This window comes from Homo sapiens, chromosome 11, assembly GCF_000001405.40.
Source record: "Homo sapiens chromosome 11, GRCh38.p14 Primary Assembly".
NCBI classification, from domain to species: Eukaryota; Metazoa; Chordata; class Mammalia; order Primates; family Hominidae; genus Homo; species Homo sapiens.
In genome coordinates this window covers 41794942-41821929 of record NC_000011.10, presented here as the reverse complement: position 1 = coordinate 41821929, position 26988 = coordinate 41794942, and the positions used below count along the sequence as shown (strand labels likewise).

Genomic DNA, 26988 nt, shown 5'->3' with positions numbered 1-26988 from the left:
GTGCAAAGCTGAGTGGAATGGAGTAGCAGTTCCCCCTAGAATGCAAAAGCTTGCACCAAAAAGAAAAAGCTTTCTGAAAATATATGCCTGAGATAACTTTCTCAGAAGCAGGTGAAACTTTGAGAGTGGTGCTGGCTAAATTAAAAAGTTGCATACCACTCTAAGTCAGAAGCACATTTCCCTTCTACTGCCTGCTTCCTTAGGGAACTAGAAAAATATAAACACAGCTGCTATGGAACTTTGGGCTTTCTAAGGACAAGAGAATTTAATTTCCTTCTCTATATGAAGACTGCCTGATATGGAAGTGTCCCACTCTGATCTGAGCCTAATCCTTCTTCAGTGTAATCAGGATATGTGTACTAGAGCTGTGGCAAAAAAACATGACAGCAGGCTTGAGCCCCTAACCTGCAACCTTTCCTCTTTCGGTCCTGACTTTCTGTATTTTGTCCTTTCTTCCAAAAGTACTACTGATTGTCTACTACTTTCAGATACTGTCCTAGGTAGAGACATGAAGGGGAATGGAATAAAGAAAGGACCTCTTTTTTTCTTCGATATCAATGTACTCATCTGGATGTCCAGTTCTTTCCTTCTTCTTCAGGTCGAATCATGGATTCACGAAAACATAGCATATTTTGTCCTAAAAGAGATTTTGAAGACCCTTATTCAACATATGATAAATCTGAGATGTGTATGTGTGTGTGTATTATCACCAGTACCAATACTACTACTAACACTAATGGTAATAGTATTGAAGATGATTATGATAATGATGATGATAAGGAGGATGATGAGGATGATGAAGATAATGTTACCAAACCCTATTTACCATGGGGCCTAGGTTTGGGGTAGGTATCCTTAAATCATATTTCTATATTGAGAAAGCTTCTCCTTCTCCTTCTAGAGAGAAATACAGCTCTTCTGAAGTACATTCCCTCAGATTATACCATCTAGCCATCCTTTTATATGGAGTCACATACAGACCTCTCAAATGTTCTTTAACTATTCGAGGTTTTAGTACTGAGTCACTGTGTCCTTGATGATTTGAACATTTACAGATATGATTTACTCAGCAGTTTAGTATCTCAGTTCTTGATTGTCTCAACTCAAACTCTATTTTTCCTTACACTTCTTTAGCTATTGTTTCAATAAATGTACACTAGACTTTATTATGATCTGTAGCTGTACCACCTTTAAAATCTTAGTTTTAAATATCAAAATGTATGATAAAGATTCCAACTAATTTATTATGCCCCCCACACTCTGGCAATTAATCACTCTCATCTTTAGTCCAATTAATTGATCTTACTATTTATTTTATTTGCCATAAACTCCATCAGGTCTTCCACTCTCTCATTCCCCAGTTTACCTTAATAATGAAAACCACTCCCTTATGCACAGTTTTAACTCCCATACTTTACCTCTTTCATCTGCCTTCTCCTTCCCCACTTTGATTGTATTTCTCTGTCAAAATCTAACTCTTCACCTATGCTTTTCCTATTACTAAACATAATTGGAGGAAACTGATAGCCATGCTCTTTAGTTTTTGAATTTTTTACCACAAGCTACAGATGAGAACTCATCTACTAGCCAATTCACCCTCTCACTTTCTACTGACTGTTGACTGATAGTCTTATGTCTTATTTTGCTGAGAAAATAGAAGCAATTATAAGTGAACTTATCTAATTTGCCCACCACCAAATCTATCAATAATCCTTCATCTGTACCAAAGCATTTATCTTCCTTCCTGTTACAATCAATGAACCCTACATTCCTAAGAATAAGTCTTACATTTGCACACTGATTCTTACATTGTCATCAATGTAACAACATGGTTCTGAAATTTAATATCTTTGTTTGTCATCAGTTTATCTTATTCTACTGAATTATGTCCATCAGAATGAAAATCTACTGTAATATGTTCCATCAAAAAATAAAACAAAACAAAATGCCTACACCCATTGTTTCATGAAGCATCGCAAATATCTGATGATTTCTCTGCTCCATGTTATAGCAAAACTTCTCAAAAGTATAGACTGCACTGATTTTCTTCTTTTCATCTCACCTTTTCTCTTGAATCCACTCTCTTCAGGCTTTACTCCACACAACTTCACTGAAATTACCCTTGTTACAAGCGACCACCATCTTGCCAAACTCAAATGCCAAATCTTAGTCCTTGTTGACTTCTCAACAGCATTTTACAAAATAAATGTCCTTCTTGAAACATTTCCTTCACTTGACTTCTGGAACGCAGAATTCTGGCTTTTTTTCTGCATCATGCACACCTCCTTCTCAGTATTTTTAGCTAGCCTCACTTCATTTTCCTTATTAATAAATGCTGGAGCAGTTCCAGGATCCAGTCTTGGAACTCATCTCTCCTTTATCTTCACTAGTCCCTGAGATGAACTTATCTAATTGTATGCTTTTAAATATCATCTACCTGCTGAACATATAGTTCTAGCTGTATACATCTCCCATGTTTCAAGCTTATATATACGCCTTCCCACTCACCAGCCCCTTGCAATTGTAATCTGCCTCTCAACTATATCATTTCCAAGGCAGAGCTCTTCATTGTTCACTACAACTTTTTCTCACTCCCTGTCTTCCTTATTTTAGTGATAGGCATCACTGTGTACTCAACTACTTGACCCAAGAAACTTACTGCCATTTTTAACTTTTCTCATTTTCTTATTATACCCCTATTCCAGACAATCTGAAACACCTGCCAGATTTATCTTCAAAATATATCCTGAAGCATTTTCCACCATAATAAAAGCCACTTGTATCTATCACTAATACCCGTGTGAAGTCTTCTGAAGTGGCCTCACTGGCCTTCATGTTTGCCCACTTCACTCAATCATCCTCAAAGCAGCCAGCATGAATTTTGTAAAATTTATAATAGTTTATGCCACACTTCTCCTCAAAATCCTGCAATAACCATTCATACTGTTTAAAAGGTGCTATATCGTCTGGCTCCTATGTATGTCTCCAATATCTTCTCTTACCCATTTAGACATTTGGCCTTCTTCTTGGTATTAAAATACACCACACTTATTATTGCATCAAAGTTTTTCATTGTTGTTCCTCTTGCCTCAACATTCTTTACTAGACTGATCTTCATATATCCCTTTTCCTTATCCCTGACTCTTCTGTGACAACCCTATCTAAAATCAAATGTCTCTATTAGTCATCGTATTAGCCTGTTCTCACACTGCTAATAAAGACATAGCTGAGACTGGGTAATTTATAAAGGAAAGGGGTTTAATTGACTCACAGTTCCACATGGCTGGGGAGGCCTCACAATCATGGTGGAAAGCGAATGAGAAGCAAAGTCATGTCTTACATGATGGCAGGCAAGAGGGTATGTCCAGGGGAGCTCCCCTTTATGAAACCATCAGATCTCATGAGACTTATTCACGATCACAAGAACAGCATAGGAAAGACCCACCTCCATGATTCAATTACCTCCCACTGAGTCCCTCACATGACACATGGGAATTATGGGAGCTACAATTCAAGATGAGATTTGGTTGGGGACACAGACAAACCATATCAGTCATTTTCCATTGTCTCATGTGGCTGGATTTTTATTCATATTACTTACATGACTTTTCATTATATTATAGGCTTATTTATTATTATTCATTTCTTTACAACAAATAAGTTCCATAACATAAAGATTTATTCATATGTAATTTAATGTGCATTTCTGACACTGTTCTAGGCTGTTGTACATTAATGTACATAATGTACATTACATCTTTGTACATGACTTCTACATACATAATGAACAACAATCTAGAACAGTGTCAGGAATGTGGTATGCTCTCAACAAATGTTCATTGAATAAATTAATCAATGAATCTTAACATTTAGTTCATCTATTACGTTAACTATTAACTATTAACATTAGTTCAACATATAATTAATCAATGAATCTTAACATTTAGTTCATCTATTATACTGATATGAGAGTATCTTCTATGGGTATGCACAGAGTAAACTGAGTTATCAGACTGTTTAGCTACTATTTCAATAAATGTACACTAGGCCTTATGATCCAAAGCTGTTCCACCTTTAAAATCTTCATTTCAAACATCAAAATGTACGATAAAAATTCCAACTAACTCAGTCTGAAACTGAATTATCAGACTATTTACTGTTCTTAGGTCCTTTCAATACCCAAAATTTTAAAAGCAGTTTTTCAATGTCTTACATTTTTAAATTGTGGGTTACAACCCATTCAAAGTGCCCTAAAATCAATTTGGTGACTATGACCAGTATTTTTGAAAAATGAAAAAGAATAGAAAATACTATGGGATATTACATATATTGTAACGTTTCATGAAATGTTTCATAAAACATTGGTTTTAGTAGTATACAAGTTGTGAAAAATGATCAGAGTCAAAAAGAGTCACTAATCTTAACAAAGTCCTAAAAACTAGAATCAGGAAAGGCCATGAGGAGAGAGTTTACATCCTTGAATGTCTGATAACAAAAAACACTACAAAGACCATAACCTTTCATAAAGGCCATCACAACCTTACACAAAAATACTTCTATAAGAACATCTGCCTAGAAATGGCCTGTCCAATTTCAGACTAGCACCATCCTTGTTATTAATTATCCCTGTAGCCAAGAATAATTATTTTAAAACAACTACATTATTCTCCTTATGTTTTTCCTTTAAAAACCTTTGCCTTTTCTGCCTCCCCGAATATACATAGTTTACCATGGCATGTGTAGTCCCTTTGCAATGCCGTATTTCCAAATAGACATTGTTTTCTATTAGAGAGTGTTTCTGTTTGTTATTCAGGTTGATATATATGATGTCAGAAATAGGATCTTCAGTTCACTATCTGAAGGAATTAGCAATTCTCAGAACTGGTGTGTAGTACACACTTGAGCCCTCCACTTTCACAGCGTGCTTTTTTTTGCCCTGGTGAGTCTTAACTCAGATCAATTCTCCCTCCTATTGGTAGAGATTTTTTGACTTTACTTGGTTTCTGGTTTGGAAAAGGCCATCTTAATAAAGGACTATATATACCTCCTGGGATGATAAAAGTCTTTTCATCTTTTCTGGTAGTAAGTCCTTTTTAGTATAAAGATAAGAAGTGTCTTTCTAGATTAAATATTCTTTTTTAATACAGAATTTACATTCTATCTGTGAGATATGTCTTCTCTGCTTTGCATGCCTAGTTCAATATTTTGTTTCATTTGCATGCCTGGGTTAAACTGTTTTGAACACATTCATCTTAGTTTATTTTTATTTGGGTTGACTGCATTCCCTTGCTTTTATCTACAAATATTTTAAGAGCAAAAATAAACATTCTGGAAGGGAATTCAGAATGGCTGAAATAAAAGCCACTAGGGTAGTTGCTATCATCTAAAACACTGGTCTTAAATTCTGACATTTTCTGACAGGATTTATAGGATTTTCTTTGTTCCCAAGGGATTAATAAGAAATGAAATGAAATTCTTAAACTTAAGGCATGCCAAATTTTCTTGAACTCCAGTCAGCTACATATTATGGCCTATACTTGTGCGTATTTTTAAACTGATAGACAAACTACATCAAGGATAATTCAGAACTGTTCATATTATCAATGACCATTCGGAGATGGTCATTATTTAAAAAACCTGCAGCTGTAGGGGAAACATATGGTGTCTTCTAATTTTTCTGTTTCTCTCTCTCTGTCTCTCTCTCTCTTTTTCTGTCTACTTTGAATCTGCTGACTTTTCTACTAGTGTTGAGAAAAAAACTCACTGTTTATGGAATTCCAGCCAAGATTAAAAAGGAAAAAAATCTTAAAAGTCCTTCAAATTAATGGCCTTAGAAATCACAACCTCTCTGTGGTAACCAACAGCCTAGACACCTTTTAGAAATATAAATTCATATTTGTCTAACAATTGTATACAATGATGGAATGCTTAATTTAAAAATTAATAATCTAAAAAATACTAGATAATTGTTTATAAATGTTAGGCTCTCTGGTCAAAATCTTGAGCTTAGCACAATAATACATCTCTGTCTAGCAAAAAACTTTAACTTTTTCTGCCATAAAAAGCTAAAAGGAAAAGGCGAAAAAAAAAAAAAAACTGCTAAAATTCTCACCTAGGTGCATTTGGTAATCAAGCAAACTAGACCAGCCAACAAAAGACAGATTTGTTATAAATGTAAGTCTTCTTAGAGGTTTTGTTTTTCTTATACAATTCAGCCAGTCCTAGCTAAACATAAATTTTAAAAATTTAACCCTAAACTTATTTTAAATTGATTTACAAAAAAGGGTAAAAGAATTTTTTTTTTACTTAAATAAATGAAACTACCATGGAAATACCTTTACCCAAAATTTTAATCTACAGGCTTTATTAGATTACCTGTAAAGACAAATAAAGTTTAGCTATGTAAACAGGTCTCAATTTTGTCAGAAATATAATTTGGATCTAAGTGTCTGTTATAAACTAGTGAGTTTTTGTTTGTTTTGTTTTGTTTTACTGTCTTATGACTAAAATTCAAAAGTGAAAGCTATAAGGTCTTTATTTGTGTGTGTATGTATGTTTAGATGGGTTTACATATGTATATGTTCATGTATTATGTTATATGGTATGTCCACATGGTCAAAGCTGGTATAGTTGTTCAAAAATATTGTAAGGATAAAAGAATGTTCATATACAAGATAAAATATATAGTAATTAACCTAAATGCCTTTAGTTTGCATGACTCCAGTAAATTGTTAATAAATAAGCTGGTTTTAAAATTATTGGTAAAATTTTAAAAAAGGTCTTCAGAATTCTCAGCATGTATTTTTACCTGGATTTACTGTTCAGACAGCTTTATATGTGTCTCTGCTATATATTTAAGGTGTCAGGGTTTGAGACAAAGATTATAAAACTATACATCTAGCCTAAAATAGAATGATCTTTGTGTAATTTTTTGATAAGTAAGACCTATTTAACATTATTAGTTTAGTGAAAATAGCTGTATCTTCTGGGTTATCAAGTAAAAATTTTTACTTAGGTGAACAGCTAATATTCACAGGCTATAAAAATAGTTAACCAGGAAAGTAAAATGATTAACATCTTTGTCTAATACTGTTAAAAGTAAATAAGTTAGGTAAATGTAAATGAGATAAACATTTATAAATAAATGTTTCATGTAATTTGAAATCTTAAAGTTACATTAAATAATAGATATTCATTAAATGCTGGATTATTTCCAAATAAGATTAAAACAAATTATGTTACAGGGAAGTATGTTTCTAAAATTATAAAATGCTTCTTGTCTATAAAATATTGACATGTTACAGACAATTCAATATTTCTTGCCTCCTAGGTCTTCACTAAATTTTAAACTTAATAAGAGTTAAAAATTCTAATTTATATATATAATTTTTATATAACTATATATAAATATATAATTGTATAAAGTGTGCCAAAAGATAAGATATGTTTTTAATTTTTAAAAATTATGACTAAGGTATAAAAATGTGATATTTATTGAAAAAAGTATAATTTGTTCTTATTCAGAAGTTATTTGAAGGTTGCTTTAAAATATAAATTTAGGAAGGAAATAGAAGCAACAGAGAAAGAAACCAAACGTAGGAGAGAGAGATGTGGGGAAAGTTACAGATATGAAAATGTATTTTTGATAAGAAAGGCTAAAATGAAGAGAAAAATTTTGTATAAAAAAGAATCCTGTATGGTAACTGTTTCTCCTAAAGTAAAATAACAGATTATTTAAGAAAGAGAAACTATAGGACAAAAGAGAAATCCAAGCATGCCATATATGGTCTGTGTAAGTCATAATAAGATTCATGAAAAAGAAACTTATGAAAGGAGTTATGTGTGTGATCAAGTTGGCTAGAATTAAAAGGTGATTATTTATAGTAGTCTTTCTAATGATAGATTTTTTATATTAAAAACACATTCATACCAAACTAAAAAAAAATGGGTACCTAATGTTAGAACAAGGTTTCCTTAAAGCATTGATTTACTTTTAGTTATATTGCACGAGGTATTAATTTTTAATTTGGAAATGTTTCTTTTTGAAATTTCTCACATGTATCTCAGAAATTCAACTTTTGTTCTACTTTACTGCATGTAATTTGCAAATTATACATTATTGTCTTCTTTTTCTTCTCTTGAAATCATGTATCTTTTTGCTTGGTTGGGGTGCTAACTCTCTTCTTCAACCTTTTCATCAGCTCCTGTAACTATTTTTCTCTGGTGCCAACTTTTGTTGTGGTCAGATAATGAAATGTTTATCTTAAAGGCCTAGAAATGGAATGCTTTTCTCCAGTATAACTTGATTCTATATTCGTGGCTTTTCTTGATATGTCTGAATAGTTTCATGTAACCAGGAAATTTCCCATGCTGTTACTAAAGGTCATGTACTCCATGCTCAATGTAATATTTTCCTTGTCTGTATTTCTCTATAACATGGTGTACAGTCACAATTCTGTACACATTTTTCTTGTATCTGATTAAATTCAAGTACCATTTTCATTAGGTTTGACTTCCAGGAAATTTAAGAAGGCATCTCATAAGAATAAGAAATCATGCTGCAGAAGGTTTTTCTTCACCTCTTTATCTTTTTGGTAACTGACCTAAAAAAAAAATTTAGTGTTTTATCAAGATAATTTTCTATATTGTCTTCATTAGGTTTTTTATTAGTTAGGAAAACTGAGCTTTTAAAGGTTTAATGTTTTTATATCCATATAACTTTTTGTTTTGCTTTTTGAAGTATTTTGACTATAACTCTGGTAAATAAATATTATTTTACACAACCTATAATTTTGGGGTTTCTTTACATTTTTTTTTCCTTTTTGTTGTTGTTTTAATTTTGTTTTAATAGTTTGGGGGTATGAGTAGTATTTTGTTACATGGATGAATAATATAGTGGTGAGTTCTGAGATTCTAGTGTACCCATCACCAAACTAGTGTACATTGCACTTAATGGTTTGTTTTCTATATCTAGCCACCCTCCTGCCCTTCCTCTTCTGAGCGGCTGATGTCCATTATATCACTCTGTATGCCTTTGCGTACTCATAGCTTAGCCCCTACATATAAGTGTGAACACACAATGTTTGGTTTTCCACTCTAGTGTTACTTCACTTAGAATAATGACCTCCAGCTCTATCAAAAGGTGATTTTGTTTTGATCAAGTGTTTTGAATCTTTTGAAATCTTTGGCAGGTTTCTCTAGAATCAAAATCCTAAATTAAATCTTTTGGGGCTAAAATTAACTTTGGAATTTTCTGGTTAAGTGCCTCTAATGTGTCAAAGAGTGTATCTCTTCTCTTGTGGTAATGCTAAATGATTCGACTTATTTGCTAAATTATGCGGGAGATATTGTCAAATGACAAGTGATACTATAAACTCTTTCAGTTACATTTATGGGTATATAGCTGTTAAATATGTTTTAAAAATTATACAAATTCATAAGTCTACTATATTATCAATCATAATTTTAATTATGCTAAATCTTTTCTACAGTTCTGTTTGTATGGGTAAGTCATTAATGTTAATGTTCTAAAGATTATATAGAATTTATTAAATCTGATGGTCCTGATGTGACACTGTCAGTCATGAATCTGGTTACCTTAAAATACTACATGTAGTAAATTTAGTAAATTTCTTTGTCAATTGAAAACTTTCATCCGATTTTAACCATAAGCTATTTCAAGCTTTCACCATGCACAGTTATTGTCTTGAGTTCTCTAAAAGCATTTCCAATCAGCTCTATTCCAAAATTGCTTTTTTCTAACTAGTACTCTTAAACACAGATTTCTGATAACTTTAAAATAAATGGACAAAATAAAAATTTTCAGAACTCTCATTGTAAAAAACGGATACATTCATATAACTGCTAACCAAGTTAAAGCAAAAATGAATTAATTACATGAAATGAAGTAGTTGACAAAGATAATGTCTTATGACTTTTAATTAAAACATTGCTAGTTATTTACTTAAATGTTTCCTTTTCACGATTGAAGAAAATTTTGCTTTATAAGCTATCTATAGTTTTAAACAATCTGGTAAAGTATACTTTTGTGAACAATAGTGGAGAAATTTGCTTTTCCTCCCTACTTGATTTATCCAAAATTTGGAAGCTGTTTGTGCATATTCTTATTTTTTATTTACATAAGTTTAATAAAAATCTACTCTGTCTTTGTATGCAGAATACAAGTAGAAACATTGATTATATTAAATATTACCAAGGCTTTGACTAAAATGCCATCATTTAAAATGTGCATAGAATGTCCAGCTTTAGGAGTTTGCAGCCTTACAGTAAGTAAAAAGTGTCACTTCCTGGCAGCCTCAAGAACCTTTAGATGCTAAGAAAAATCTAAGGTATGCCTTAGTTTGGGTTCTTGGGTTCCTAGCCTTAAAAGGTTTTTTTTTTTTGTTTATTTATTTATTTATTTATTTATTTATTTATTTATTTATTTTGAGACAGAGTCTTGCTCTCTCACCAGGCTGGATTTCAGTGGCGCGATCTCAGCTTACTGTGACCTCCGCCTCCTGGGTTCAATGGATTCTCCTGCCTCAGCCTCCGGAGTAGCTGGGACTATAGGCATGCAACCACACTCAGCTAATTTTTGTATTTTTAGTAGAGACAGATTTGCACCATGTTGGCCAGGATGGCCTCAATCTCTTGACCTCGTGATCCGCCCACCTTGGCCGCCCAAAGTGCTGGGGTTACAGGCGTAAGCCACCTTGCCGGGCTTCAAGAAGTTTTAAATCTGAGATTCCTATAAGATCAATGTGGAAAGAAAAAGTTATATTTCCAAAGAAAAACTGCAATACACCTGTGTATTGTTTTTATGTTCTTATTCTCTCTGACTGAATCAGTTTCTGAATTTTCCTAATTTTCTCCAATATTTGGCTACAACTCTGTAACTCAAACAAAAAAAAAGCTACTCTGTTCCTATAAAAAGCAATATAGAAGTTGAAACTAGATGAATTTCAAGAGACAAACCCTGTATCTGATGTATGGACCACATAAAATGTTCACTAAGCTGCCTGGTCATGACCAGAAACACTCAAACTACAAACTAGGAGAAGTTAATGTTTTCATAGTGTAAAAAGCTTTTCTCAAGACACAGAAACAGGACTCCTGATCATAGTAAGAATCTTACCCCACTTGCTACCTTTTGTACTTGACAAGATAATGATTAATTGAAATTTCATAATCAATAGCTTCTGCTGGTAACTTAACAGAAGGTAGCCTAATAAATCCTTCAGTACCCATTGGTTGAATTAAAAAAATATATATGTGCTATTGCTAGTACTACATGCCCATCTAGATAAATTTCTCTGGGAAAAGTTGACCCTCATATATACAAAATAAGCAAACAAGCTACATGCTTACAAAATCCTTCATCTAATTCCCTATGCTTATTTGATTCATGCAATTGGTGATCTTTAAGTCAAGGTTTATGGCTCAAAACCATTACCTAAACTGGAATTGTCACATTACTATTAATATTACTTTGTATTTTCCTTGTTTAAACTTTATATCTGTTACTAATTAAATTTTTGCAGAAGTGCAACTTCTAACAAGATAATATTGACCCTACACTTTAAGCTGGTACCAAAAGACCATGGAACAGACAAAATTGAACTTTCTAATGAACTCTGAGTGGACTTAGCATGAGAGCCCCTCCTTTTAAACCTCTGTTGTTGCTCAAATATGGCTAAAAGAATGTTGACACTGACTGCTACTTGCTCATCATTCTCCCCAATGTAGAATGAGACCAGCAACTGGGACAGGTACATTCTGGTGTCAAGGGACAACAAGTCTTAACTATAGTGTAATTTATCAGTGATACTTTCAGAGAAAGATCTTGATCAAAAGGGGGAAATGTGAAAGTCATCAGAATCCAAATGGAGCCACTAATTTTAAGAAAAGTCTGACACATAGAGCTGGGGAAGGCTATAAAGAGAAGGTTCTCATGCTTGTGTACTTTATAATGAAACCACAACCTTGCACAAAGTCTGTCACAACCTTATACAAAAAATATTTCTGCAAGGACATCCACTCAGCAGCTGCATGGCCAAACTTGGACTGGTGTCACCTTTGTTTTAATCTTTGGAGCAGTGGAGAAGTTTTTCAAAATGATTAGGTAATTTTTCTCATTTTTTTCTGTAAAACCTTTTGTCTTTCTTTACTTCCCTGAATATGCATGTAGTTTACTACAGCATGTATATTTCTTTTGCAGTGCTCTATTCCCAAATAGGCATCTTATTTTTAGACAGCCTCTCTTTGTCTGTTATTTTGATTGACAATGTATATGTGTGTGTTGAATAGTAAAGTAAAAATAAATATATATTTTTTAATTTGGAATTGCAGTTAAAAACTTTTAGGGTCACACTATAAAAATATTCCACTGCAACAGGAAATATAACTTTTTCCCTTGTCCATGGCAATGGTGAACCCAAGCCAGGAGGGAAACTCAGCCTTAATGAATACAGCATGGTGGTAATAAAGAGAGATTCTGATGTTGAATTACTCTTTTAGTTGCTACCCTCTTTTGTTTCATTTTGTTTTTTTCCAAAGGCAAAAAGACCTTCGACTAAGCTTGTCCTGAGATTCCTGTGTCGTCTTTTGTGCTTTTCCTACATCACCTTCTAAATCCATACTTTACTTTTAGAAGAAAATGAGAATCTCTCAGTGACTCTTCTCGTAGTTTGTCTGAGTTTTGGCAAACTGACAACTGGGAGTCTGCCTTTGTAACTTTCTGTCTTTCTGACATGTTCACTGAGATCTCCAATAAAAGACACAACAACCCAGTCTTGCCATGGTCTCCATGATAGTGCTCATCAATAGGAAACAAGATTGCTGTACCTCTTAGAAATGAAATTTCTTGTTGATACGTCTTTTCATTTCTCAGAAATTTGCCAAAATTAACTTTCTTCTCACATTTTCCAGACTCAGTTCTCTTGAGTGTTTTTTATGTCAGCTCTAAATTGAAAGGACAGAAATGGAAGATAGCAAAGTCAGTCTAAATGGTTTATATTCCTAAGACTCCAGAGAAGTTTTCCAAGATAAGTGACTGTATTTTCAAAACTGCTACAAAATTTTACTATTGCCTGAGAAGCCAAGACATACTAACATTTGTTAAATAATCATTATGTGCTAGGACCCCCATATGCACAACATAAATTAACCCTGTTCTATTTTACATAGAGAGTTTTATCTTGCAATTGTTTTAAATAAATTTGATTTAGCTTCTGAGATTTAAAAATCAGAAGTTTTTACCTAAAAATCCAGTTTTCTGGGTTCTCTGGAACTATCTGAAGATATAGTAAAGTAATACACAGTAGCTCCTGTATTAGTTTGCTAAGGTTGCCACAACAAAATACCACAGCCTGGGTGGGTTAGATGACAGAAATTTATTTTTTTACAGTTCTGGAGACTAGAGTTCAAAATCAAGGTGTCAGCAGGTTTGGTTTCTTCTGAGGCCTTTCTCCTGGGCCTGCAGACAGCTGCCATCTCCCTGTATCTTCACAGTGTCCCCTCTCAATCTCTGTGTGTGTCATAATCTTTCTTCTTATAAGTATCAATCATATTGAGTGGGGTCTGCCGTATTATCTCATTTTACCTTAATTGCCTCTTTAAAAGCCCTGTCTCCATATTCAGTCACATTCTGAAGTACTCGGGGTCAGGATTTTAATATATGAGCTTGAAGAGAGCAAATAAGTAGTTAAACATTCAAACACATATGTTGGATATTATGATGGTTAATGGTATATGTCAGTTTGACAGGGCTAAGGGATGCCCAGATAGCTGGTAAAACAATATTTCTGGTATGTCTGTGAGAGTGTTTTTGGAAGAGATTAGCATTTGCAACAATAAACTAAGTAAATAACATCACTCTTACCAATGCGAGTGGCAGTCACCTTAAATAGAACAATCCATTCATAAAATTATAATTTCCTTGAGAGATGTGCTGCTTCTGATATTCAAGACACTCAAGTTCCAGTTCTGACACTACTCAAACTTGGGCAACTATATTGCCTCTTCTGTAACTTAATTTAGATAAGGTTATTTTTAAAATAATTACTACTTCCATGTATTTAGTGTTTAAATTTGTCTAGGCACTGTGCTAAACATTTTACATATATTTTCTAATTCTCACAGCCTCCTTTAACTAGATATTATTATGCTTTTTTTTATAGAGGAAGAAACATGGCTCAGAAAGATCAAATGATTTGTTCACAGTCATACAGATATTAAAGGACACTTTGGGATTTGAACAAATTATGATTAAATAAAAAATTGGCCTTTTCAACCATGTAGTATAATCAGTCTTGCCAAGAAATTCAATGAGGTGCTATATTAGATCTTTGGAATCAGACCTCGGCTCAAGTCCTTGCTCCACTATTTCTTCCTTAAAGTATCTATACCTTAGTTGTCTCTTCACTAAAATGGAGACATGTGCCATACCTTTGACATGTTATTCCTAGGATGAGATAATTTATACATCTTAAATTCTTCAGCAGTTTCTGTTCCTGTAAGTATTGTCATTTTGTTGCTATTAATGGTAATAAGTGTCCATTCAGTTCCTCAAATCTATGATGCGTAGATAAAACTGAAGCTTCCAAAGTGACACAGGAGAATGTACTTCTAACAATATGGTAGATTAGATCACAAAAGATGGAATTGAAGAAATCTCTGTAGCAGTTGCCTGGATACCTAGATGGTTATTAAATCCATGAAATCAGAGACTCTACCTTAACTACCTCTATTCCATAGGATCTCCTAGAGATTCCATTTTATAGTAGATGCTTCTTTAAAGAGTTACTTAAATTGTATTAAACTCAGTGGTTTACTTGCAAATAAATGGCTGATTGTTTTACAGAAGTCTTAAACGTATGTATTTTTAATTAAAATTACAACCACAAACTGTAAAAGCATATGGTCTTAATTAAAACACTTATAAACTCACACTTGTAGAGAAAAGTGATACTAGGGTAGAGATAGTTAGTATAAGAAATATTTTTTTCTTTTCCAAAATGCCATTTGCCTTCATTAATATTCAAATGCGGATAAAAAGTACTTTTCATAGACTCCTTAAGATATCAAGTATGAAGACTACTCCAGAGAGGGGATTAAAAGTAAATTCCCTGGTTTTAAAGTGTTAGTTTTTAACATTTCATATAAATGTTTTCAGTAAACTTGGTATAAAAGCATGAGTTTAATGCTTTTAAGAGTGTATAATTTTACAGTTGATGTCGAATTTTGCTTGTCTTCAAATAATCACCATTTATATAACAATTCTCTCCAAAGCGTCTAAGCCATCTTCTACTGCCATTAAAGAAGAGGAAATGGCAGATAAAACATGAGTCTTTTCTAGTCATCACTCAAACCCCAAAGCAAACCTGGGGCTTTTAAGAGATCGAGAAATGTTCAGCAGCAATATTATTTCACTAAAGAAAGATAATCACAACTTTAAGATGTGGGCCTATTTAAAATATTCTTCCTTTTTTAGATATCAAATTACATTTTGTGTATTATCTTTTGTTTTATAATGATAAAATGACATATTATAAAAAAGTAAAATATACAAATATATGGTTTAAAAAGTAAAGGGGCAATATGGTTTTACTTCCACAGACATTGTTAATTGTTAAAAGTATATTTCTTTTTGCTTTCTTTCTTTCTTTCTTTCTTTTTTTTTTTTTTTTTTGAGACAGAGTTTCTCTGTTGTCACCCAGGCTGGAGTGTGCAGTGGCGCAATCTCAGCTCACTGCAACCTCCGACCCCAGGTTCAAGCGATTCTCCTGCCTCAGCCTCCCGAGTAGCTGGGATTACAGGCACCAACCACCATGCCTGGCTAATTTTTTTGTATTTTTAGTAGAGACGGGGTTTCACCATTTTGGCCAGGCTGGTCTGGAACTGCTGTCCTCAGGTTATGCACCCACCTCAGCCTCCTAACGTGCTGGGATTACAGGCATGAGCCACTGCACCTGGCCTAAAAGTATATTTGTAAACATCTTGAACTGCTTGAACTTATATGAATTCTTTTATATCACTTTTTATAGTTAAATTTTAATTGTGTGTATATATTTTAATGAAATATACCCATCTTTTTGTGTAATTTATTTTGTTTTTTTTTAAATTATTCTTTCGATATATAAAAAATATTCTTCTATTTTATTAAGCTTTACTATGATTTAATCAATTTAGTTACTGTTTTATCCATCCTAATTTTATCTGGATATGATATGTATTAAAATTTTCCCTTATCACTACTCTTTTACAGCTCTATGAGTTACTAAAATTAATTTTGACATGTCTTCATATTTCTAAAGGCTGTCAAATTTTTAACTAAAAAAAGAAAGACCAGGAGTGGTGGCTAACACCTGTAATCCCAGCACTTTGGGAGGCCAAGGCAGGTGGATTACCTGAGGTCAGGAGTTCGAGACCAGCCTGGCTAACATGATGAAACCCCATCTCTACTAAAAATACAAAAAAATTAGCCAGGCATGGTGGTGTGCACCTGTAATCCCAGCTACTGGGGAGGCTGAGACAGGAGAATCACTTGAACCCAGGAGGCAGAGGTTGCAATGAGCCCAGATTGCGCCACTACACTCCAGCCTGGGCAACACAGCAAGACTCTGTCTCAAAAAAAAAAAAAAAAAAAGGAAAGTAAAAAAGAGGTTATAGATGACCCTTTCTAGATGACACTTTTGGCAGCAAACGTTAATAAACAAAATATTATTTATGTTATATTATATAATTATTTATATTATATGAAATATTATTTATATTATTTATATTAAAAGCTTCACAAATAATTTACTGATTTTTTTCTGGTTAAGCAATTTGGTTGTAGTTAGCACTTCCTAACTAGAAGTACAAGCGATTTTCAAATGGGTCTTTTCTAACTTATGGAGACAAATGCTGAAAATAATGACTTTGTATGCAACCTGACTTAAAGTCATTACCACAAAAACATTCATTGATTTTTTAGGAGAAGAATTTTAGAAGAAAAACTAAAAAGAACCATGAACCAGTTAAGCAAGTGATGAAATTTAGGCTATAATTTTGACAGAATCTTTTTTTATTTTTGTTTTGTTTTTATTTTTGAGATGAAATCTCACTCTGTCGCCCAGGCTGGAGTGCAGTGGCACCATCTTGGCTCACTAAAACCTCCGTCTCCTGCGTGGTTCAAGCAATTCTCCTTCCTCAGCCTCCTGAGTAGCTGGGATTACAGGCGGCCGCCACAGAGCCCAGCTAATTTGTGTCTCCATCTTGGTCAGGCTGGTCTTGAACTCCTGACCTCGTGATCCACCCGCCTCGGCCTCTCAAAGTGCTGAGATTACAGACCTGAGCTGCTGCGCCCAGCCGACAGAACCTTTCTATGCAAAATGTAAAAAAATGAAGACTGGAAAAGATCCTAAATGGAATAGTCACTTTGTTTTTGTTTTTTTTGTTGTTGTTGCTGTTTGCTTGTTTGTTTGTTTTTTGAGATAAGGTCTTGCTCTGTCACCGATGCCGGAGGTCAGCGGTGCAATCTCAGCTCACTCCAACCTTCACCGCTTGGGCTCAAGTGATTCTCCCACCTCAGCCTCCTAAGTCGCTGGAACCACAGGTGCGCACCACCATGCCAGGCTATTTTTTTGTGTTTTTAGTAGAAACGGGTCTCATTATGTTGCCAGGCTGGTCTTGAACTCCTGAGTTCAAGTGATCCACCAGGCTCCAGTCTCTCAAAGTGCTGAGATTATAGGTGTGAGCCAAACTAGTCATTTTTACAGTGGCAGTTGAATAGTCTTCAGTGAGTCCCGAGTTCCTTTTTCCTAATGGACTCTTTAAGTCCTGGAATTCTGACAATCTAGATTTTTAACCTGATGACGTGTATACATATTAATGGCTTCTGTGGTTTTAGAAAAACTTTAGTCATAATTCCATATTTGTTGGCTTCCTGATGGTACAAAGTATTGGAGAGATGATGATTGCTCGTTCCCTTTTCTCTAATTTTTGAGATTTGACACCAAGGATAAGGTATGAACTGGGAAAAACAATCTGATTAGAAAAAACTGGAATTAAAAATCATAAGCTTCAGCTACTCCCTGAATACATTAGTTGTCTTGGGAGATCCTCAATCCTCCCAAAAGGTACAAAGGGACCACTTGGCTTTCTGAATGCTTTTATAGATAATTACCTCAATTCATGTTTGTGTAGTATCACACAGTTTTAGTCACATTGCTAACTTGAATTAAGCAGAGAGGTTACCCCAATATAACATTAATTCTATCAGGGAATCAAAATTGTTTGCTTGTTTAAAGAGGTGACCATTTGTTTTGGCATTCTAGGCAGGCAAGGATGCTTGAGAAAAATATGAGAAAACTACAGAAACAACTCAAAACTTTTCTGACTTCCTTAAAAGAACATCTCCACGGAGGTTTACAGTGAGCTGGTAACAGAGCTGCTGCACTCCAGCCTGGGTGACAGAGTGAGACTGTCTAAAAAAAAATAAAAATAAAAAAAAGAACGTCTCCAATTTTAATGCATTTCTTTGTTCATGGAAATATACAAAGTGTATTAAGGAAGTAAAAACACTTTAAATCATGTCTCTTCAACCTAAGTGCTGGAGCAGTTTTTCTTTCTATAGGTTTTCTATTATTCTTATGTGAATCAGCACAGCAGAGTGTTTCTATTCATCTTGAAACCTGTTCCTAATTCCTATTCTGCCAAGACCATAGAGATGTTTTCAAATAGTAAGCCCCTTTGCATACGTTGTTTATAGATAAACAACAATAATCAAACTTAATTTATAGTGAATTATCATTGATCATAGTAATTGCATTGTGCAATTAGCAGTGGTTTCTACCTTTGCTGGAAACCACAAAACATTTTAAATCACAAAGATATTCACACTTTTTTGAATGTTCATTCGTTTGGTGGAGTAGTTTGTTGATATAAATTTGAGGTCAAATGCTGGCCTCTACATAAATGTGAACGTTTTGGTTTGTTAGTTGTCACTTTTTAAATCTGTAGCTAATACAAAATCTTAGTTATTTGGGGAGGAGATCTGCTGCTAAGAAATGCCAGGAAAAGCTTTCTGAGCCTCTAGTGTATTTTTGTTGTGGTAAATGTGAGCCATAAGCCAAGACTCTGGTGGCAAATAGTTATTCCATTGTTTTATCTAACTGTACACAATTTCATGAGGCTTATTCTTTTATTTATAAATGAGGAAATCAGAATTCAGAAAGATTAAATAAGTTAACTGAGGCTACTAGTGAATGGAAGTCAAGATTTAAACTAATTATGTTTAACTTTAAAGACCATAATTGTCTCATTAAGCCAAATTAGATCTAGGAATGCTGCCTTTCCAAACTTCTATCAAAAAATGGAGGCATTGGCTGGGATTTGGATCCTGACTTTCAGTAGTCTCCCTCTCGCTAAATGTGACTAGACTCACTGGTGGGTTTGGGCCCCACCTCAGTGGACTCATGTGACATAAAGTGGCTTATATTTTCCTGCTGAACCCTCATTGTACACTCCACATTGTCTATTTTCCACAAGTCATGAAATAAACATTTATCAATTAAATCCTATCCCTCCTTGATGGAAAAGCACCTAACCATTTCAACTGACAAACTGATTAACATCTCAACATCTTCTTTAGACCGGCAAAGACTGTATAATGAGAGACATGTCTGCCTCTCCCATCTTTTTCCCTATTCCTCCCTCTCTTTCAGTAGGAGGTCTCTGGCCACACTTCTTTCCTTTCTCTTCCACAAACTTGCCAATCTCATTTATGGCCCAGAGCCTTGACACTTGCCAACCCTTCCTCTCGGAACCATCTATTCCCAGATATGTGCAGGGTTTCTTTCATCTCATTAGGCATATGTCAGCTTATATATCACCACCTCTGAGAAGCCTTCCCTGACTGCCTTAGCTAAAATGACCTTAATTCTGTCAGGTTCTTAATCATCTAACATTACATGTTTTGTTTTTTTCTTCCTACACTAGAACAAATTACGGAAGATGTCTTGTTCATTACTCTATCGGCAGTTCTTGAACAGTGATGTGTGACTATAGTAAGCAATCAGTAAATATTTGTGGAAGGAATGTATACATGAATTAATAAATTATGCATCTGACTCTTAGTAAGTGATCAAATAAAAGCAATATACCTCTCTAGAAAGCAGTTTGTTAATCTCTTATAAAACTCAACATGTAATTACCATCTGACATGGCATTTGCACATTTGGACATTTGTCTTAGAGAAATTAGAATTTATGTTCACACAAACACCTGTACACAAATGTTGGTAACAGCTTTATTTATCACAGCTACAAACTGGAAACAAGCCAGGTGCCCTTCAGTTGGGTTAAACAGTTAAACAAACTAGTATATCTATACCATGAAACACTACTCAATAATAAAAATAAACTATTGACTACACTCATCCACTTGAAAGAATCTCTAGAAAGTTAGTCTGAGTGAAAAAAGCCAATCACACGGTTTACATGCTAAAAAAACTCCATTTGATAACATTCTTGAAAAGACGAAATTACAGAGATTGAGATCAGATTCGTGGCTATCAGGGTTAAGGACAGGGAAGGAGAAAACAAATGTGGGTGGGTTTATAAAAGGGCAAGATGAGGGATCTTTGTAGTGATGGGACTGTTCTGTATCTTGACTGTGGTGGTGGATAGAAGAAACTGTCAGGTGATAAACTTGCACAGAATTAAATGTACACACATTACACACAAATTAGTGTAAGTAAAATTGGAGAATTCTGATTAAGATGGGTGAGTTTTATCAGTGTCAATATCCTGGTTGTTATATTTTGATACAATTTTGCAAGAAGTTACTTTTAGAAGAAATTGGAAAAAGTGTTCACAGGATCTTTTTTTTTTTTTTTTTTTTTTTTTTTTTGAGACGGAGTCTCGCTCTGTCGCCCAGGCCGGACTGCGGACTGCAGTGGCGCAATCTCGGCTCACTGCAAGCTCCGCTTCCCGGGTTCACACCATTCTCCCTGCCTCAGCCTCCCGAGTAGCTGGGACTACAGGCGCCCGCCACCGCGCCCGGCTAATTTTTTGTATTTTTAGTAGAGACGGGGTTTCACCTTGTTAGCCAGGATGGTCTCGATCTCCTGACCTCATGATCCACCCGCCTCGGCCTCCCAAAGTGCTGGGATTACAGGCGTGAGCCACCGCGCCCGGCCCACAGGGTCTTTTTTATATTCTATTTTAAAACGGTATATAAATCTACAATTACCTCAACATGCAAAGTTTAATGTTAAAAAACAATATATCTGTGAAATATAATAACTTTTAAACAACATTAACTGTTTGAAAAATGAATAAACTGCTGTCCACAAACAATATTGAGAGTTGTGTTAAACAATCTAATTTTATACTTAAATTGTGATTTATGACCCTATTGAAAGAAAAATGCTTATGTATCTTTCTTTCTAGAATATCCTCATTTTGTATTCCTCCTCTTTCCTTTCAAATCCAGAGTCAGATTTTTATCCACTTGGAATGTACATTTTTTTTTGCAGAGGCCCTTAGAAAGGCTACTTGTATGGTCAACCTGAGAGGTAAATGCAAATTTCCAAAAGTGCACCGTAAGAACATGTAGTGAATATGCAATGCAATTCTTATTAGCTAAATAAATCCACAATTTGCTAAGTGATACTGTGGCAGTCATAGGTGACAAGGTGCATGCATAGTGGCTGCTCACACCTGAGCACAGAACATCAGTTTGTTAGCTGAGTTCTCTGGAGAAAAATAACACTGAAAGTTTTGATTCTAACATATTCCTTTAATCCAGATTTAAAACTTCTACTTTGGGTCCATGAAATTATCAGGTTTAATTATTGTGCCATATTTACACTTTCATAAGAAGTAAGAATTTTTCCTTTGAAAGTAGCATGACTTCAAAGTAAGCAAAAATTGGGTTTGAAGTCTAGTTCTGTCAATTATTAATTCACTATGAAACCATAAGGAAGCCATATAACTCTGCACCTCTCATGTCCTTTCATACTTCTCCATTAATCCCCTATCCTATCTCAACCATTTCCTTCTGTGGTCATAAACTAGAGCTTGTCATTATGTAGCCCCTTCATAACCTCAATTGTATGCATCCCATTCTCTGACTACACCTCCCCTCTTTCCACTGATACTTAGTTTCTGTTACTTCAACTCAAACAATTCTTTGATGTCAGCAAGACCTCTTTTCCTACTCTCAAACCATATGGTCTGTATTATTTTCTAAAAGTTTATAGCATTACATTTTAGTAAAAATGTTTTTAGTCTTTTATTTTTGTCTGTACTTCATTTTGAATAGTTTCTATTGCTGTGTCTTCAAATTCATTCATTTTTTAATTCTGCAGTGTCCAATTGGCCATTAATCTCAATCAATATATTTTTTCATTTTATGTATTTATTTTTCAATTTCATGTGACTCCTGTCTTACACCTTCTATTTCTTTCCAAATCAATTTCATGATGTAATCTTTCTTCCTTAACATATACAGCACATTTTAATAGCCAGCTTAACATACTTTTCTGGAAAGTTCATCATCTTTATTGCATCTAGGTCTGTTTCTATTAATTTTTTTTATGATTACAGATCAAACTTTTCTGCCTATTTGGATAACTGGTCATTTTGCTTAGATGACAGAGGTGATGTGTACATATATATCTACAATCCAACTAACTTATATTTTGAGGTATTGTTGGGAGGTGGGGGAATCAAGTTTCATTCTTTCTTTTCCATGTAGATATCTAAAGGTCAATGCACCACTTATTGAGATGAGACATTCATCTCCTCCATGGTTCTACAGTCCCCTTTTTGTCAAAATTTAAATATCCACATGTGCTTATTGTTTCTGGTTTCTCTCTTCTATTCGGTTGGCCTACTTATCTTTTATTTGCCCAATATCACATTATCTTAATTACTCTACCTTTAGACAAAGTTTTATAACAAATAGCTTTATAATAACCCAGTAGAGCTTTTTTTTGTCTGTTTGCTTGTTTTTTTGAGACAGAGTCTCACTCTGTCGCCGAGGCTGGAGTGCAGTGGTGCAATCTCGGCTCACTGCAACCTCTGCTTCCTGGGTTCAAGCAATTCTCTTGCCCCAGCCTCCTGAGTAGTTGGGACTAAAGGCACCTGCCACCACGCCCGGCTAATTTTTGTATTTTTAGTACAGACAGGGTTTTACCATATTGACCAGGCTAGTCTTGAACTCCTGACCTCACGTGATCTGCCTGCCTTGGCCTCCCAAAGTGCTGGGATTACAGGCATGAGCCACCAGGCCTGGCCCAGTAGAGCTCATTTTTTATTCAGGAATATTATTTTTAAAAATACATCTGCCTAGCAATCCAAGAGAATGCTCACTCTGGATGCAGTTTCAGCACCACCAAAGCACAGTGTAGGTGCTACAAATCATGCAAAATAAAAATATAATATTTTCTAATACTTAGGACTATCTTCATTACATGCTTTCATATGTTTTGGCAGACAAATATTTCATCCTCAAAAATCTTTCTTTTAGATAGGCACATAGTTACTGCTGTTTACACAAAATATATATGATATTCCCCTTAGAAGACATCAAAATGTTATTTAAACATTTACAGAATTGTATAAAACTTTTAAAGGCATTTTTTGTACTTTAAAAAAAAATTTTCACATGCTACTTTGGACAAATCAATTACAGACTAGTTTCTAATTGCATCACCCAAATCTAACAAAACTTTGTTTCAAGGATTCTAACCCTATACCTCAACACACCTGCTTAGAAATGTAACAGCACAGGGCTATAGTTCTCCACTTATTTGTTCTTTGAAAATGCAAAAGCTATTGTGCAGCCAGAAGCTTCAAACTCAATGCTCTTAACTGTCTAGAAAAAGAAGTTATGTTTCAATCCTACAATTGGCATCAGCATTGTCTCAAGAGTGCAGACTAAGAACAAAGAGTCAGGAAGATTGCTGCTCTGCAGATAGTCTTTGAATATTTATATAAATTGTTGGACTGCTTAAACTTCTTGCAACTTCTTAAGTAGGTGAAGAGATTTTTACCTGTGTGAGCAGTATATGTGTTTCGTGCAAGCTAACAAGGTCTTGAAGCAGATTTTATGGGCACTTTTGTGAGCTCCCTCTATAATGAAGACATTGTGTTCCAATAAGGCCTTTTTGCCCTTGGATAGTGCAACAACATATGCCCTCATTATAGGTGTAAGTCCAAGCTGACAAGGATGGCCATGTTCTTATGAGGATTGTCACCCCATTCATCACTGTCAGGAAGTGGTGAAATTTAGGGGGAATCTATAAGATTTGGAAGAAAGTTAAAACTAGCATTGTGTTGGTAATATAAAAAAATTACTGGCTCCTTATTTTGGGAAGTCTATCATTGTCCTGGAGACAATGGGCTCTTTTTGAAATGTCCAACATTAGTTTGAGGTCAGAAAGACTTAATTTAGAATTTGAAATTTGAGGCTGGATGTGGCTTACACATGTAATCTCAGCACTTTGGGATACCGAGGTAGGAGAATCACTGGAAACCAGGAATTCAAGAACAGCCTGGGCCACAAAGTGAGAGCCAAGACTTGCTCTCTACAAAAAAATTGTTTTTTAAAAAATTGGCCAGTTTTTTTAAAAAGATGAGGGTGATAACAGAAGTTATTTTGAAGGAATTACCATTGTTTTAGGTGCCTGGCTTAGTACACGAATCCATAGTTCATTGGTTGCTGCTGTTCAAGAGTTGCAGAGCTGGTGAAGCTCAGCTGCTTCCTGGGATGTTGTGGTTGGAGCAGTTTGGTCCAGTTCAAAAGTTTAAAACAGTCTATAGGGTTTTTGCATTATTGCAGGATGGCCAGGTAGTCCTCCTTAGAATGGCTTCCTGACTCCACTTTAGAGCTCTGAACCAGAGTGAAACCATGTTGTATATCACATTCCACATTTCCCTTTTGATCAAGGTCTGACATGAGGAAGTATCACTAATCAATTATCATTTGATTGGCACAGATTTGTAATTGATTGCCCTTTGAAATGCTAGTGTTGTGCCCCATGAGAGAGACTGTTGGAAGTTAACGTACTTCCAAGACTTCAGAGATTGGCCAAACATGAATGACAAGGGAGCCACTCTAAGTAGGAGGCCTGTAGTATTCTATGATGATAAACTATACACCAGGAGAAGCATGTATTTAATTAACCATGTCTAAACATTGTGACATTATTATTTTAATATCCTGGATGGGCTAGCAGCAACAGTAAGTTCAGAGGGTATAATAAAAATTTCTCTGCCAGCTTGTCAGATCCTGGATTCCCTTGACTGTAGCTTCCAGATAAGCAGGTCAGCTTTGATATCCTGATGCACCAAAACTGTAGGAGCAAAAGGAAAACTTCCCTTTGCTGTCTGAAGAGTTGCTAAAAATCAACTGCCAAAAGCCAAATTAATAAGAGAAAAGGCTTACAAATTTTATTAATGTGCATGGGGACAGAACATAGAGTAATTACTCCCAACCCCTAATGGGGCACAGAAGCTTATATAAGTTTTTTTTTTTTTATAAGAGATAGAGGAGATGGGACATATAGACAATTAGGGAGAATGAAGGGACCAGGGAGACATAAATTAACTTGTAAATAAATTACTTTGGAATTTTAATGAGCCCCAGAGGCAGATATTATCTTGTTAAAAATTTCACCTGGATATGGTTCCACTCTTTTCTTTTCTGAAATAATGAGATTTCTGGAAGGGGATAGAAGGCAATTGTGTTTCTTTTAGTAAGAAGGTTTCTTGGTCAGATTAGGAAATTCCAAAGGGAGTCTCTCCCTGCCATGTAGAGGGAGGAACAAAACAAGGTTAGACAGACCTTGATTCTGAGGCTTATTTCTGAGGCCTTTTAATTTTCAAAAGCACTTGCATGCCCAAGAGCCATATTTTGGGGAATCATTTTCTATTCCCCAGCATTCCCCTATCTGAAACTTCCCTAGAAATTTCACACACTAAAGACTGAGTTGGTGGCTGTGGAGAGAAAAATGGAGTTAATAGCTGAGTGATGAAGGATTTCATTAAACCATTTCTTATTTAACAATGATTCTTGAATGATGTTAACATCTCAGGTAAGCCTAATATGCTTCTCTTAGGGTTCCATGGGCTCTTTTTGAAATGTCCAACATTAGTTTGAGGTCAGAAAGACTTAATTTAGAATTTGAAATTTGAGGCTGGATGTGGCTTACACATGTAATCTCAGCACTTTGGGATACCGAGGTAGGAGAATCACTGGAAACCAGGAATTCAAGAACAGCCTGGGCCACAAAGTGAGAACCAAGACTTGCTCTCTACAAAAAATTGTTTTTTTAAAAAATTGGCCAGTTATGGTGGTGTGTGCCTGTAGTCCCAGCTACTTGGGAGGCTGAGGTGGGAGGATCACTTGAGCCCAGCAGTTTAAGGCTGCAGTGAGCTAAGGTTGTGCCACTGTACTCTAGCCTGGGGGAAAGAACAGGATCCTGTCTCAGAAAAAAAAAAAAAATTTGATTTGGGGAAAGTTTATCAAATATCAGTACTTTAAATTTGATAGTAAAATAGGGTCACTATAAAATAATAGTAATTCATTCAGCCAAATTGATAAAAGATTTTTAAAGGCAAAACAGACAAAACTAAAAACTTCACTCTTTGATAGAGAGTAACTTTGGTTTTCTCAAAAATCAGATGACCTAATTAAGGTAGTATGAAAGACTAGGTGTGGTGACTCATGCTGGTAACCTCAACAATGTGGGAGGCCAAGGCAGGAGGATTACTTGAGCCCAGTAGTTTGAGACCAACCTGGGTAACGTGGCAAAACCCCATCTCTACAAAAAAAATAAAATAAAATAGCCAGGTGTGGTGTAGACCCAAATACTGAGAAGGCTGAGGCAGGAGGATTGCTTGAGCCCAAAGGTTTGGGTTGAGGCTGCAATGAGCCATGATCATACCACTGCACTCTAACCCGGGCAATAAAGCAAGACCTTGTTTTAAAAAA

General features: G+C 34.9%; 1 long non-coding RNA gene across 1 annotated transcript in view; it reads right to left on the bottom strand.

Moving 5' to 3' along the window:
* Positions 1 to 26988, bottom strand: part of LINC01499 (long intergenic non-protein coding RNA 1499) — a 121875-nt gene that overhangs the window by 14513 nt on the left and 80374 nt on the right. Inside the window, exon 3 of the long non-coding RNA NR_120584.1 lies at positions 537 to 637. This is a non-coding gene — a long non-coding RNA (long intergenic non-protein coding RNA 1499). The remainder of the gene's footprint in view (positions 1 to 536; positions 638 to 26988) is intronic.